Genomic DNA, 15,895 nt, shown 5'->3' with positions numbered 1-15,895 from the left:
ATTTCAGTGTCAGAAATTTATGTGTAATCGAATTTATTCTGGTAGCCTAAATTCTGGTAGCTTATTTTCTTATATGCTTCAATCTTTATAATTTAGTTCTCACATGAGGGAGATCTAATATTGGAAATATTTTCAATCTGTATGTTTATGTATTTATTCTAGTTGTCCTGGCACAAGGTTATCAATGTTGCTGTGTGACCAGCCATTGGCTTTTCACATTTACAAATCCTCTGAATTTTTTCTTGCCTCATTTCTGGTGCTAGGAAATTCTGATATTTTCTCCTCATCTCCATTGTACATTTTAGGGATTCTTGAAACTTTTGATGCACAAACATCCACACTTTCTGCATAAGTAGAATATTTTACTTAGATATTTTCTAGCAGACACTGAGTTCTCATGAGAAATCCTCAGTCTCTTTATTTGGAACACCCCCTCCCCAATATTCCATATGGAGTAGTTTTGTGTAGAATGTGATTACTTCATTAATATGTCAAAGTATGGATACATTTTGAACACATTTCTGAAGTTGTAATAACTTTCTTGATGAATAGTACCTGCGCATGACCAGAATTGTATTTTTAGTAGATACGGGGTTTCACCCTGTTAGCCAGGATGGTCTCAATCTCCTGACCTCGTGATCCGCCTGCCTCGGCCTCCCAAAGTGCTGGGATTACAGGCATGAGCCACTGCACCTGGCCAATCACATCATTCTTGTATTCATCTAGTGGTCGCTGTGTACCTCCCACGTCAGGCACCGTAGTACCAGACACTGAGGATCCGGTGGGGAGCCAGAGGGACTTTAAGGACTGAGTCAGTAGGACACGGGCTCGTGGGATAGGGAAGGATGAGGGAGACAGAGGGTCAGATGATCCCCATGATTCTGCCTGGGGCACCTGAAGGGAAGTCAGAAAGGAAGCCAGGTTGAAGAGGGATGGCAATGAGTTTTGTGTTTGGTCTGCAGGACAGAGATGCCGGGCTGCGGGGAGGACAGGTAGGAGGTGTGTGTCACAGGTAAAGGCAATTGCTCTATGGGCCTGGGTTTTGATGGGAAGAGACGCTAAATCATGGTTCATGATTCTTTCTCAAAATTGTAATGCAAAGAGCCCTCATTGAATCTGCATTTTATAGCATGTACTGTGCAAATTTCGGGGGTATCAGGAAGAAGAAACATGCTCCTTTGTCTCCTGAAGCTCACAGGCCAGTGGACATGGCAGACATGTAAACGAAGGGAGAAGAGGTCAGTCCACAGAGAACAGCTTTGGGTTTACCTCTGATGCTGGCCCTGACCCAGATCAACCAAACCTAATGGAAACAGAGAGCTGAGAAAGCGGGAGAGTTGAGCTCACTGATGCTCGGATTTTACAGATGAATCTGGAGGCGGTTTCTCCCAGTGCTGACATCCAGGCACTGCGGGTGCCACAGAGAAACATGGAAGGGCCTTCTGGAGACCACCACATCTGGCATCCTTCCCCCTTTTAGAACTGGAGCAAGACAACCATGTGTGCTATCACTACTTCTTTCTTTACAGTGTCGGTCCAACACCGTAATGGTCTGACAGTCCTGCAGCTTGGAAGCCCAGGATCATGGTGCCAGCAGGGTTGGTTTCTTCCAAGGCCTCTCTTCTGGGTGGTAACCTCTGTAGGCACGTGCCCTTGGTGCTTCCCACCACTTTTTTCCAAGTTCACGCTGATCCCTTGAATCAGTTATCACTCCCCCACTTGTTTTCCAGCTTCTGTGATGTTCCTGGCAGGCGCTCCTCTCACTCTCTGCTGTGAACTCTTCCCTTTTACATCTGCAATCCCTTCGCATTCCTTTTAGCGGTGTTTGGAGGAGAAGCAAGGGCTGAAGTTGTTCCCACTCATGTCTTTCACCCCCCAGGTGCCTCTGATGTTTCAGCTCCCAGTGGTGCCTGCAGGGAGATCCCTCTGTACTTCATAATATTATTTCTATTTTTTACACTTTTTTTTTTTGAGGTGGAGTTTCACTCTTCTCGCCCAGGCTGGAGTGCAGCGGTACGATCTCGGCTCAATGCGACCTCCACCTTCCAGTTTCAAGCAATTCTCCTGCCTCAGCCTCCCAGGTAGCTGGGATTACAGGTGCTCACCACCATGCCCAGCTAATTTTTGTATTTTTATTAGAGATGGGGTTTCGTAATGTTGGCCAGGATGGTCTCTAACTCCTGACCTCAGGTGATCCGCTCGTCTTGGCCTCCTGAGGTGTTGGGATTACAGGCGTGAGCCACCGCGCCTGGCCACACTATTTTTTTTTTTTTAATTTCCTTGTAGTACTGCTTGGGCTACATGGCTTAAGTTTTGTACATAGTTTTCATTGTTCGGTTCTAAATGCTTTTAGATTTTCATTCTAATTCTTCTCGGACCAGTGCATTATTTTTTATTTTTTTAATTTAAAAAATAATTTAATTTAGTTTTATAGAGATGGGGGGGTCTCACTATGTTGCCCAGGCTGGTCTTGAACTCCTGGGCTCAAGGGATCCTCCTGCCTTGGCCTCCCGAAGCTCTGGGATTATAGATGTGAGCCACCGTGCCTGGCCAGTAGTGTATCTTTAAATTTCCAAACATAGGGGAGCCCTTAATTTTAGTTTGGTTGCCAATTTATGCCTTTATTCTGTTGCATCAAGAAAATGGCTGGTGTGATGCATGTTCTTTTGCTATTTGTTGAGTCTTGTTTTGCAGCCTAGGACATGGTGAGTGTTAGTAAATGTCCAAGGTGAACTTGAAAACAATGTGTGGTCTGTAGTTTTTGGGTGTCCACTAAATCAAGTTTGTTCAACTTTTTCATATTCTTTTTTTTTATTTTTATATTTTGACAGAGTCTCACTCTGTTGCCCAGGCTGGAGTGCAGGGGCACGATCTCAGCTCACTGAAACCTCAAGTTCAAGTGATTCTCCTGCCTTAGCCACCCGAGTAGCTGGGATTACAGGCATGAGCCACCACATCTGGCTCATTTTTGTATTTTTTATTTTAGTTTCCGCATGTTGGCCAAGCTGGTCTCAAACTCCCGACCTCAAGTAATCTGACTGCCTTCACCTCCCAAAGTGTTGGGATCACAAGCATGAAACACTATGCCTGGCCCAATTTTTCTATGTTCTTCCTAATTGAGTCTGCTTAAACCAGCAGTTCCAGTGACAAGTGGTATAATTTCCTGCGTGGAGAATGTGCTCATTTATTAATTTTTCCTTTTCTTGACACTTTTTTGTTTTGTAGTCATTTGAGGCTCTATCATTATGCAGGTGCACACAAGATCAGAATGGCTAATGCTTTTTTTTTTTTCCTGTCGCCCAGGCTGGAGTGCAATGGGATGATCTTGGCTCACTGCAACCTTCACCTCCCAGGTTCAAGCAGTTCTGCCTCAGCCTCTCTAGTAGCTGGGACTACAGGCATGAGCCACCATGCCTGGCTAATTTTGTACTGCAGTAGAGATGGGGTTTCACCATATTGTTCAGGCTGGTCTCGAACTCCTGACCTCAGGTGATCTGCCTGCCTTGGCCTCTCAAAATGCTGGGATTACAGGCATGAGCCACCATGCCTGGCCGCTAATACTTCTTTTAAAATAATTAAATTATTTATGTATTTATTCTTTTTCCCCACCCCTCCCCCACCAGTGAATGCTTTGGAATGAATACTCATCAGTATGCTGCAACCACTTTTTATCCTAATAATGATTTTGCCCTGGAGCCTACTTTGTGTGATATGAGCTTCTCTCCACTAGCTTCCTTTTGGATGGTCTTTGCCAGATGTGTCTCCTTCTATCTCTAGTAATTAGAGCCATTCCAGCTATGTGTCAAAAATTAACAAAAGGGGTTTATGATCAAGCATGGGCAACTTACACAATCGTCAGAAATGGAGGAACAACTCCCAGCCCTCCGAATCGGCCACCTCCTGGGATCAGGAATAAATCCTAATCTCAAAATACAGGTAAACAGTCTACCTCCTGTCCCCTAAATGAGATGCCAAGCATGCCCCTCCCCTCAGCCAGGTTGTCTCCATCCAAATTTCAATGACCACTGGCCTCCCTGCTGACCCATGTCCCACTGAGGAGCCCCAAGCTCTGAACCAACTGCCTACCCACCATCCCCTCGGGCTGCACCTGCTCCCCAGGCCTTCCCCTCCTTTGGAGCTGCCTCTGTCCACCAAGGGTGCTGTCGCTCACCTAACCTTCCAACCAGAACCCGGTGGTACCTTGCTGCCCCCTCCACTCCCTGAAGAAGCTGCCCCCATGCCTGTCAAGTTCTTCCAACTGCTCGAACCTTCTGGAACTCCAGGCCTCAGTATGTCTTGTCTGAGTGGCTGCAATGGCTATGCTTGCTTCTCTGTCTCTCTCCATCAATCAGTCAAGCAATCAATCGATCAATCATCTATCAATCAGCTATCCACCTATTAATCTATAATCAATAATCTATTAATCTATATCATTTACTTCTATAATCAATCATTGATCTATCCCATGTATCTTCCTATCTACCCGTTATCATATCTATCAATCTATCTATCATTTATGCCTCTATCATGTCTATCTTTCAATAATTTATCTATCACCAGGCACAGTAGCAGGTGCCTGTAGTCCCAGTAACTCAGGAGGCTGAGGCAGGAGGACTGCTTGATGCTAGCAGATCAAGTCCAGACTGGGCAAGATAGTGAGATCTCATCTCTAAAAAAATTTTTTAAATCATCTATCATCTCTCTCTATTCATCTATCTATCCATGTATCTATCATGTATTTTATGTATCACTTAGCACCTATGAATCATCCATCATCTATCGATCAATTATCTATATCATGTCTATATATCTATATATCTATGTATCAATTTATCCATCAATCATCTATCTGTTTTTGAGGCGATATTCCCAAAATATACAATCAATCCCTTTAAAGTGCACAATTCAGTGGCATTTAGTATGCTCTATAGTTCCAGAACATTTTCTTCGAAATAAAAAGAAACCCGAGGCTGGGTGTGGTGGCTCATGCCTGTAATCCAGCACTGTGGGAGGTTGAGGCAGGACGATCGCTTGAGCTCAACAGTTTGAGACCAGCCTGGGCAACATAGTGTGATCCTGTCTACAAAAAAAATTTCACAAAATTAGCAGGGTATGGTGGCACACGCCTGTGGTTCCAGCTACTCAGGAGACTGGGGCAGGATTGCTTGAGCCCGGGAGATCAAGGCTGCAGTGAGTTATGACTGCGCCACTGCACTCCAGCCTGGGTGACAGGGTGAGACCCTGTCTGTCTCATTAAAAAATAAAAAATAAATACAAAATTTTTTAAAAAGGACTGCCCCTGCCCCATTTTCCTTCCCCTGCCCCAGCCCCTGACACCCACTCATCTGCTTTCTGTCCCGATGAGCCTATTCTGGACATTTGTGTCTGGCTTCTTTCACCCAGCACGAACTCTTTGAGGTCTATCCGTCGTGTTACGGTGGAATGGCACCGCGCCTTATGCACAGGCTGTTTGTCCATTTGTCTGTTGATGAACACTCAGGCTGTCCCACCTTTGGGAGGCTATGGCCATCCATGCATAAAGGTATGGCCGCACAGCTGTTCTCAGTTCTCATGCCTCTGAGGCCAGATGGGCTGCCGCACCCTATTCCCACCAGCCACCCTCACATGCAGCCACTTGGCCTGCAGTACTCGACACTGCTTCCCTGTTGCTGAAAGCTCCTCGGTGGCCTCTGGGCTAAGTCCTGTCTCTGTAGTGTGGCCTCCAAGGCCCGCCAGCCACAGCCCTCCCTTCCCGTGCCCTCCCTTCCCCCTGTATGCAGCACTAACACCCTGCACTGTGCTCCCAGTTCCCCCCAAGCCCCTGCACAAGTGGCCTCCTCTCTCTAGACGGGCCAGCAACACCCTGTGTGGCAGCTTAGACATCCCTTCTCTTGCCTTCGTGCTCCTCCCACAGGGACCAGCATGATCCCCGCCCCTAGTCCTATTTGGGCTCAGCCAGTATTTCTGTGCAATGTTGTTGCAGGTTCTGCCCCACCACCGTCACAGGAATCCTAAGAGCATGGGCGTGAGGCTCGGTGGAGGGCATGTTGGACCATGTCTTCTGGTGACTTTCCCCCACAGAGGGGCTTGGGGGTCAGGCCCACTCATTTCCCAAACTCACTCTTTCCCCCACAGGCAACCCACTCCCTCTCCTCCATCTCTCCCCAAGACCCGCAGCAGACACCACTACACTCTGAGGCAGGGAGGAAGGACTGCATTTGCCAATGGAGGCTTTTACTGGGGGGACTCGGGATGGCGCCCGGCCTGAGGGCTGAGGGCCTGGGAAAGGCACACAGTGGCGGTGGGGTCTCTCGGGCAGGCGCTGGCTCTGCAGACGGCTCCCCCTGGTGACCCCTGTTTGGCACTGAGCTGGGAACATGGTGTCCGCACTCCCAGCTAGCAAGCAGAAGCCCGTGTGGCCAGGTGGCGGCTGGCAATGTAGGCTGGCGGGGTGACGGCCACAGGGGCTGGGTTTGGCACCGGTGGGAGCCGGGACCCCAGGGGACTCAGAGGCTGGGCCGCCCCCGCTGCTGGCAGGGTAGTCACATTGGCCACGGAGATGGCTACGAATAGGGAATCCAATAAATTAGGCTGTAGAAAGAGAAGGTGAGGGGCCGAGGGGGCGGGGCCTACATTCTCGCTCCGCAGGCAATGCTGTGCGTCCCTCTCCCGTGGGATCTTCGGGGCTCTTGTGGAGGAGAGGATGCAGGTGAGGCGCTCTGTGTGACCGTGGGTACCACTGGGCGGCTTTTATAGCATCGCATGGGATGGGAGCCTTGGCTGGCCACCCTCAGGGGATGGACCGTGGGGTCTTTGAGAGACTGACGAGGAGGGAGGCCACCTGCAGCGCCAGGGGCTGTGGCCTGAGGGGCTCCTGGGGCTCGGCTGCGCTGCTGTGTGGCCAGCACTGGGCCCCTTGTACCCCAGCTTCCTCCACGGAGCAAAGTAGAGGACTCACTGCCCTGGACAGGGCCCAGTCACTGTGGAACAGCCCCCCCAGGGAGTGGGAGGGACAGGGCGAGGGTTACGCAAGGCGCCACCCTCCACATCTACTTTCCCGAGGTCGGGAAGCGTCTTCTAGGACGAGGGGTCAGGCATGCAGGGGCGGGGTGCGTGCGCAGGTGGGTGCTGCCGTCTCCTTCATGTGATTCGAGCTTGGGGGCGGGGCAGGGGCTGGGGAGGGTGGCGTCAGGTGGAGGCACCCTGGAGGCCACCAGGGCCTTGCGGGCTAGGTGCCGGCACGTGCGCTGGGGCCACGGCCTCGCCCAGGATTTGGCAGAGCTCCTGGAGGTGCCGCTGCATCTTGGGAATGCCCGCCAGCTGCTGCTCCAGCCGCTGCTTCTCCTCTGTCAGGCTCAGGCGGGCAGCCGAGCCTAGCTTCTCGAACTTCCAGCCACCCTCCCCATCGAACTGTAGCAAGTGTGTGTGGTACTCCCTGGCCAGGAGAGGGACAGGGTCAGGGGCATGGCACGAGGGCTGCTGATGACAGCCGCCTGCTGCTGCCGCCTGGCCCAACAGGCCACCTCCTCCCCTCAGGCAGCCACTCCCACTGACCCCAGGCAGGGAGACAGGGCACCTACCACAGGAGGGCTGGTGGGTGATGGAGAGCAGGGCAATGCCTGCGTCCTTGGCCGCCTGGAAGATCTTGCCTTCCACGTCGATGCTCACAGCACTGGTGCATTCATCCAGGAGGGCGTACTTGGGCCTGGGGGTCCGGGCCGAGAGGAGAGTCTGTGCACCCTCCAGGGCCCAACACCCCAGTCCGGCTCAGGCTCCACTGAGCCCAGGCCTCCCCACAGCTGCTACTTCTCCTTCCAGGGGACCCCAGGGAGCCTGCCGGCCCGGAGTGCTCACCTGTGGTAGAACATGCGGGCCATGCCGATTCTCTGCTTCTCGCCACCCGGCAGGACATCTTTCCAGTCACACATAGCCTCCCAACCTAGGCAGGGGCAATGGTCTTGGCTCAGTTCCACCAGTACCCAGACCTGGGGTCCAGCCGGGGAGCTGGGGGAGCTGCGGGAATGAGCTAGCTGTGACGACAGGGCCCCTGTGCCTCTGCGTCCTTGTCTGTCTGACAGGTATTAATCATGGAGGAGTGGGGACTGGAATCGTGCCTTCCCCCAGAAGAGATATGGTGAAGTCCAAGCCCCAACACTTCAGTGTGACCTTATTTGGAGACAGGGCCTTCGCAGAGGTGATCACACTAAGATAAGGTCATCAGAGCGGACCCTAATTCAATATGACTGTGTCCTCATAAAAAGGGGGTGTGCGGGCAGAGGACGTGCACAGGGGAACACGAGGTGAAGATATACAGGGAGAAGTGGACCATCTGTGAGCCGAGGACAGAGGCCTGGAACACATCCTTCTGTCATGGCACCTGGAAGGAACCCACCCTGCTGGTACCAGGATCTCGGACTGCTGGATCCAGGAGATGATCCACCCCTGCGGTTTATGGCAGCCCCAGGACACCCATACAGCTCCTTGGCACAGAGCTCCAGAGCGGCCTGAGTTCTCTCCCCAGACCAGGGGCTTGTCACCCACAGGGGTTGGGCCTCCTGTCACTGCCCCGTGCCAGCACTTTGGTAAGGCTCGAGTGGGCTGCTTGAAGGAGCAGGTGAGCCGGCTGCTCCATTAGGCCGGGGCACTGCGGCAGAAGTGGCCCCTCCTGTCTTCTCGCCCATGCTGCCTTCCCCAGCGGCCCAGGGCTAGAAGTGGCGACAGGGTATATGGCCACCCAGAGTAGAGATTACGCTTCCCAGGTGGCCTTGTGGTGAGGTGTGAGCATGAAACTAAGTTGTGGCCAATGAGATATAACTGTAAGTATTCAATATGGCGGCTTCTGGAACCTTCCTTAAAAGATAGAAGACACATACCTTTTGCCCCTTTCCTTCTACTTCCTCCATCCTACAGCCTGGGACATGAGGTGAGGGCTGCAGCAGCCCTCCTGGATCATGAGGTGACTTTGGGAATGGAGGCCACACACAGCAGAGTGACATGGTAGAAAATCCTAGAGCCTCGGGGCCTTCATAGAGCAGGGCCAGCCCTGGCAACTGTGGCCTGGCTCTCTTGGGATCTAACAGCTCAGTAGGATAAACTCACAGATGATCTTAGCCACTACTGCGGGGAGGCTGGTTCTGTTCCTCGCAGCTCAACTCCATCCTAATGGCTCATGCTGGCTGGCCACAGGCCCTGGGCATTCAGGCTGCCACAGAGGCGGGAGGGGCCATGTGCTCCCAGGCCGAGGGCAGCAGGAGCAAGAGGCAGGGTCGGGCCAGGGGCTGCTCCACCACCATCGCCACCTGTGTTCCCGCTTCCTCCACAGGCAGATGACAACACCCTGGTCATTTCCTGTGGGAGCCACTTCTTCTTATGTTGCCACCGAGGGAGGGCTTGGTGCCCATGCCCTTGAAACATGAAGGGGAGCCCCAGCAAGGCGAGGTCCTTGCCCAGGACCATCTCACACCCAGCAGTGGGGGCTGGAAGCAGAACCCAGAGGCTCAGAATTCAAAGACAGAACTGAACGCTCCATCTACTGTGTCCCTGTAGCTGCACCCCCCTCTCCTCCTCCGCTCTCCTGGCCCGACAGCCACTGTGGACAAGCAGTATTCCTTGATAAGCCCAGGACAAGAAAACAGCTCAGTCTGGCCTCCTTTTCAGTGAACTCATCTCTGAATCCACCTGACTCTGCTGGCCCCAGCCCCCTCCAAGCGTCTGCACAGACCTCCTGACAGTAGCCATCACTGCACACATGTTCCTGCCCCTCCCAGGCTGCCCCTGCCCACCGCCCCATGGTCCTTCCAAGAGCGTCTGATCCCGCTCAGGGAAAGCCTAGGCTCCCGCCTGGTCCGGAGGGCCCTCTGTGAGCCAGCCTCTCACACCACCAAGCCTGCGGGCCGCACTCTGCCCTGCTGCCCCTGGCTCCTGGACGGGGTAACCACTCAGCATTCTGCAGGGCTCAGCTCAGACTCCTTTTCTCTGGGAGAGGGTATCCTGGGTACCCCAATGAGGTGCGCATCCCTGCTAGGTGCCCCCTTCCCTAGAGCACCCATGCCACCTGGGGCCATCTGTGTGTTGTTGGTCCTCCCTGGTAGGCAGGCCTCAGAGGTAGCACCCTCTGCCCTGCCCCTGTGGCACCTGGCACTTTAGACTCCTGGATATTGAGATAATCTTCACTCCCTGGAGGCCAAGGGAGAGGCCAGGGTGGGACAAAGGGCGGCTGCCAGCCCCAGGCCTCCTACCTCCCTCCCACTGCAGGATGTGGTGCAGGTGCACGATGTCCAGGATGGCTTCCAGGTCCTGCTCCGGGTAGCCCTTCCTTCGCATGCCCTCCACTGAGTCCGGGTAGATCACCTGGTCACACAAGGAACCCACAGACATGTAGGGCCTGTGGGAAAGCTGGGTGTCCACGGAGGGAAGGGCTGGCCCTGCCTCCCCCAAGATACTCTGTGCCTCCCAGGCAGTGTAGATTCTGTCTGCTGTAGACAAAATAATGGCCCCCGAAAAATGTTCATGTCCTAATTCCCAGAGTCTAACATACAAATATGTTAGGTGGCATGGCAGTGGGAAATTAGATTTCAAGTGAAATTAAGGCTGCAAAGGCGGCGGGGGAAAAAGCCGCAGCAGCAAAAATCCGGGGCGGCGGGGGCAAAAAGCCGCGGCGGGGCAAAAACCCGAGGCAGGGTGGGGGCAAAAAGCCGCGGCCGGTAAAAAGCCGTGGGGGCAGGGGGTAAAAAGCCACGGCGGGGAAAAAGCCGCAGCAGCGGGGAGTCAAAAAGCCGTGGCGGGCAAAAAGCCGCCGCGGACAAAAAGCCACGGCGGCGGGTGTGCAAAAAGCCGAGGCAGCGGGGCAGTGGGGGCAAAAAGCCAGAGCGGGCAAAAAGCCGCTGCGACAAAAAGCCGCGGCGGCAGAGGGGCAAAAAGCCGCAGTGGCGGGGGGGGCAAAAAGCCATGGCCGGCAAAAAGCCGCGGCGGCAGGGGGCAAAAAGCCGCGGCGGGGGTGCAAAAAGCCGGGGCGGGCAGAAAGCCGCGGCGGCGGGGGGTAAAAAGCCATGGCGGCTGGCGTCAAAAAGCCGCGCGGCGGGGGTGCAAAAAGCCCTGGTGGGCAAATAACCACGGCACCTGAGGAGGGGAGGGCAAAAAGCCGAGGCGGGCAAAAAGCCACGGCGGCGGGGGGAAAAAAGCGAGACTACGTCTCAAAAAAAAAAAAAAAAGTTAAACATATCACACCACCTAGTCATTCAAATCCTGCTTATTTGCCCAAGACAAATGAAAGCGTATGTCCAAACTATTGGACAAACATTCGTAGCAACTTTATTTGAAATAGCAAAAACAACTGGAAGCAAACCAAATGTCCATCAAGTGTTGAATAGATACACCAACTGTAGAATATCCATACAATAAAACTATTTTTAAAAAACTACGGGGCAAAAAACAAAAAACCAAAGACAGAATCTAACTTCTTGGTAAATACATTCACTATTAGGGTTTTTATAACAGAGAAGTCATTCTTTATTAACACTCTTTTGACTATGAAAATATTTTGACATCAAAAATCTGCAAAATATGAAGAAACAAAGGACACACAGCTTTTTCTATTTTCTATTTTTATTTTATTTTAGTTTATTTTTTGAGAAGGAGTCTCTTTCTGTCACCCAGGCTGGAGTGCAGTGGCGCGATCTTAGCTCACTGCAAGCTGGGCCTCCCGGTTCATGCCATTCTCCTGCCTCAGTCTCCCGAGTAGCTGGGACTACAGGTGCCCGCCACCAAGCCCGGCTAATTTTTTGTATTTTTAGTAGAGACGGGGTTTCACCGTTAGCCAGGATGGTCTCAATCTCCTGACCTCGTGATCTGCCCACCTCGGCCTCTCAAAGTGCTGGGATTACAGGCGTGAGCCACCGCCCCCGGCCCCAGGACACACAGCTTTAAAATTTCTCCTTGGTCTCACCCAGTGCCAACCACCTAAAACCTCTCATTTTCCCCCAGACATTTCTTCTGCCTCCAGGATGGAGGTAGAGAATCTTGGCCTTGGCCTACGCACTGGGGACCATGCTGGGCTGCCGTGGACAGTGACGGACTCAGGTTCTCACCAGGATCCCCAAAATAGGCCCCTGACAAAAATGTTACCATCAGGGTGCGCTCCCTGATTCTTGTGTCTGCTGGAAGGAGGAAATCAAGCCAGGAACATTGTCAGGATAGAGATGAAAATGGGGCTCACTTTTCTGTCTGTTGTGATGTCAGACAAGCCTTTCAGCTGTGTCTCCTCAGCCCTCATGGAATTGTTTGATGTGGACGCACCGAGAGTCTGAACTGGGTCCCCTTTCCCTCTGCCCTTCTCTGGGGCCAGATTCTGAGCTCTCCATTCCAATTTTTCCCCCAATTTGCCCTTGCATTTATTTATCTGGATTACTGTCTGCCTGTCCCAAAGAATAAAAGCTTTATCACAGTGGGGACTTTGTTTAAAAAAATAATAATAACAGCTATATTTTTAGGATCCATGACACTGACCAGCATATCGGTGGTATCTGATAAAACATGTTTGTTGACTGAATGAACAAATATATTATTCACAATTCACATTATCCTGAACTGGCTAGAAAATTAAATACCTGATATCAGTATTGGCAACATTATGAAGTAAATATAATTCTGATACAGTGCTCGTGAAAGTCTAATATGAAATGCTCATTTTAGAAAACATTTTCTTGTAGATTTGAAAATGTTTCATCTCCATGAACTAGTTGTATATCTGCAAGTTGTGTATCTTTGGGTTAGGCAGAATAATTGCCCCCCACCAAAGACAGCCACATCCCAGTCTTCAGATAAGGTGAACATGCTAACGTAAGTTAGCATGTTCAAAGGGACTTGGCAGATGTGATTACCATTAAGGGCATTGAAATGGGGAAATTACCTTGAATTACCTTGGTGAGCCAATCTCATAATTCCTTGAGAGCAGAGAATATTTTCTGGATGCTGAGATTCAGACAGATGGCAGTATGAGAAAGATGTGGCCTGCTATTACTGGCTTTTAAAACAGTGGTAGGGGGCCACAAGCCAAGGAAAGCCAGTGACCTTTAGAAGCTGGGAATGACCCAAAGTTTACAACCAGGAAGAAACTGAGGATCTACAACCACAAGGAACTGAATTCTGCCAACAACCCAGATGCTCTTTTAGAGCCTTCAGAAAGAAATGCAGCCTGCCAACATCTTGATGTTATTTCAGTGAGAGCCATGCCAGATTTCCAACCAAAACAATTCTAAGACAATAAGTTTGTGTGTGTTTTTTAAAACTGACTCAAATCTTACAAAAATGTGTTCTTTTAAGCCACTGAATTTGTGGTAAATTGTCACAGCAGGAATAGAAAACTGATACAACCCTAGAGAAAGTCTCGTACATGTGCCCTATAAACACACAGCAGAATTTTTTTTAACTTTTTATTGAGTTAAAAAATATATATATAATTTACCATCTGTACATTTTTAGAGGACAGTTTAGTGGTGATAAATACATTTATATTTTCTTCTCTTAATCTCCTCTTCCCACTCCCCTTGCTGGCCTCTAGCAACCACCAATTTACTTTCTATCTTCATGAGATCCACTTTTTTACTGCCCACATATGAGTGACAACATGTGGTATTTGCCTTTCTGTGCTTGGCTCATTCCACTTAACATAATGGCCTATGTTCATTACGTTAAGCCAAATGGCCAGCGCCACCTATGTTGCTGCGAATGACAGAATTTCATTCTTCTTTGTATCTGAGTAGAATTCCATTATGTATATATATGACTTTTAAAATCTATTCATTTGTTGATGAGCGCTTACATTGATTCCATATTTTGTCTATTGTGAATAGTGCTGCAGTACACATCGGCATGTAGACATGTCTTTGATACATTAATTTCCTTTATTTTGGATATATATCCAGTAAAGAAATTGCTGGACCACATGGTAGTTCTATTTTTACTTTTTTGAGGAACCTCCATACTGTTCTCCATAGTGGCTTTATTAATGTGGATTCCCACCAACAGTGTACTAGTATTTCCCTTTCTCCACATCCTTGCCAGCATCTGTTATTGCCTGTCTTTCTGAAACAAGTCATTTCAACCAAGGTGAGATGATATTGCATTGTGATTTTGATTTGCATTTCTTTGACGATTAGTGATATTGAACATTCTTTCATCTTCCTATTGGCCATTTGTATGTCTTCTTTTGAGAAAATATCTGTTCAGATCTTCTGCCCATTTTTAAATTGTATTTATTTATATATTTTTAACTATTATTTTTTTAGAAGCAAGGTCTTGCTTTGTCACCCAAGCTAAAGGGCAGTAGCATAATCATAGCTCACTGTAACCTCAAACTCCTGGGATTAAGAAATCCTCCTGACCGGGCGCGGTGGCTCACGCCTGTATTCCCAGCACTTTGGGAGGCCGAGGCTGGCGGATCACGAGGTCAGGAGATCGAGACCATCCTGGCTAACACGGTGAAACCCCGTCTCTACTAAAAATACAAAAAATTAGCCGGGCTTGGCGCCGGGCGCCTGTAGTCCCAGCTACTCAAGAGGCTGAGGCAGGAGAATGGCGTGAGCCCCGGGGGAGCAGAGCATGCAGTGAGCCGAGATCGTGCCACTGCACTCCAACCTGGGCGACAGCGAGACTCCATCTTAAAAAAAAAAAAAAAAAAAAAAAGAAATCCTCCTACCTCAGCCTCTTCAGTAGCCCATTTTTCAATCAGATTTTTTGTTTGTTTATTATTGAGTTGTTTGAGCTCCTTATATATTCTACTTGTTAATCCTTTATCAGATAGATAGTTTGAAAATATTTTGTCCCATTCTGTGGTTGGCTCTTCACTTTATTGATTGTTTCCTTTGCTTGAGGCTTTTTAGTTTGATATAATCCCATTGTCTATTTTTGCTTTGGTTGCCTGTGCTTCCGAGGTCTTACGCAAAAAAATCTTTGCCCAGACTAATGTCCTGGAGCATTTCTCCTATGCTTTCTTTTTTTCTTTCTTTTTTTTTTTTTTCCACACCATTCTCCTGCCTCAGCCTCCCGAGTAGCTGGGACTACAGGCGCCCACCATCATGCCCCGCTAATTTTTTTTTTTTTTTTTTTTGTATTTTTAGTAGAGACGGAGTTTCACCGTGTTAGCCAGGGTGGTCTCGATCTCCTGACCTTGTGATCCGCCCGCCTTGGCCTCCCAAAGTGCTGAGATTACAGACGTGAGCCACCGCGCCCACGTCTTTTTTTTGTTTGTTTGTTTTTTACTAGCTTCATAGTTTCAGGTCTCAGATTCAAGTCCTTAATCAATTTTTATTTGATTTGATTTTTGTGTATGGTGAGATGGGTTTAATTTTATCCTTCTACATATAGTTATTCAGTTGTCCCAGGATCATTTATTGAAAAGACTGTTGTTTTCCCAGTGTATGTTCTTGATGCCTTTGTCAGAGATGAGTTGTTTGTAAATGTGTAGATTTGTCTGCGATCTCTATTCTGTTCCACTGTCCTATGTGTCTGTTTTTATGCCAGTAGAAGTATATTGGCAATAATTAGTACAGAAAATCTGAAACAATGAAATGACAAAAGTGAATTATACTGATATAATTCATTATGCTCACTAAATGCAATAGCATACAGCTAGGAAAACAATGTAGTGCACACGGTATTAAAATACAACACAATTCAATATACACAGTGCTCACAGTGGCCATCGTTAGAGTGTTGAAGAAGGGGATGTAGTCAGCAAAAGTTGTACAGGTGACTTCAAAAGTAATCATAAGCACTTATGATTACTTTTGGCTTAATTTCTTAAACCAAGACTGGAGACACAGGTGTTCATTATGTGCTTATTATATATATAAAATCAATATTTTATAAATATATTGTTTCTGTTCAGTATTTAATA

At 49.4% G+C, this 15,895-nt stretch overlaps 1 pseudogene; it reads right to left on the bottom strand.

Moving 5' to 3' along the window:
• Nucleotides 1–6,984: 6,984 nt before the first annotated feature.
• Nucleotides 6,985–10,389, bottom strand: ABCD1P5 (ATP binding cassette subfamily D member 1 pseudogene 5; annotated as a pseudogene).

The sequence above is a fragment of the Homo sapiens genome, chromosome 2 (genome assembly GCF_000001405.40).
Source record: "Homo sapiens chromosome 2, GRCh38.p14 Primary Assembly".
In the NCBI taxonomy this organism is placed as follows: domain Eukaryota; kingdom Metazoa; phylum Chordata; class Mammalia; order Primates; family Hominidae; genus Homo; species Homo sapiens.
This window is presented reverse-complemented; position numbering and strand designations above follow the sequence as displayed.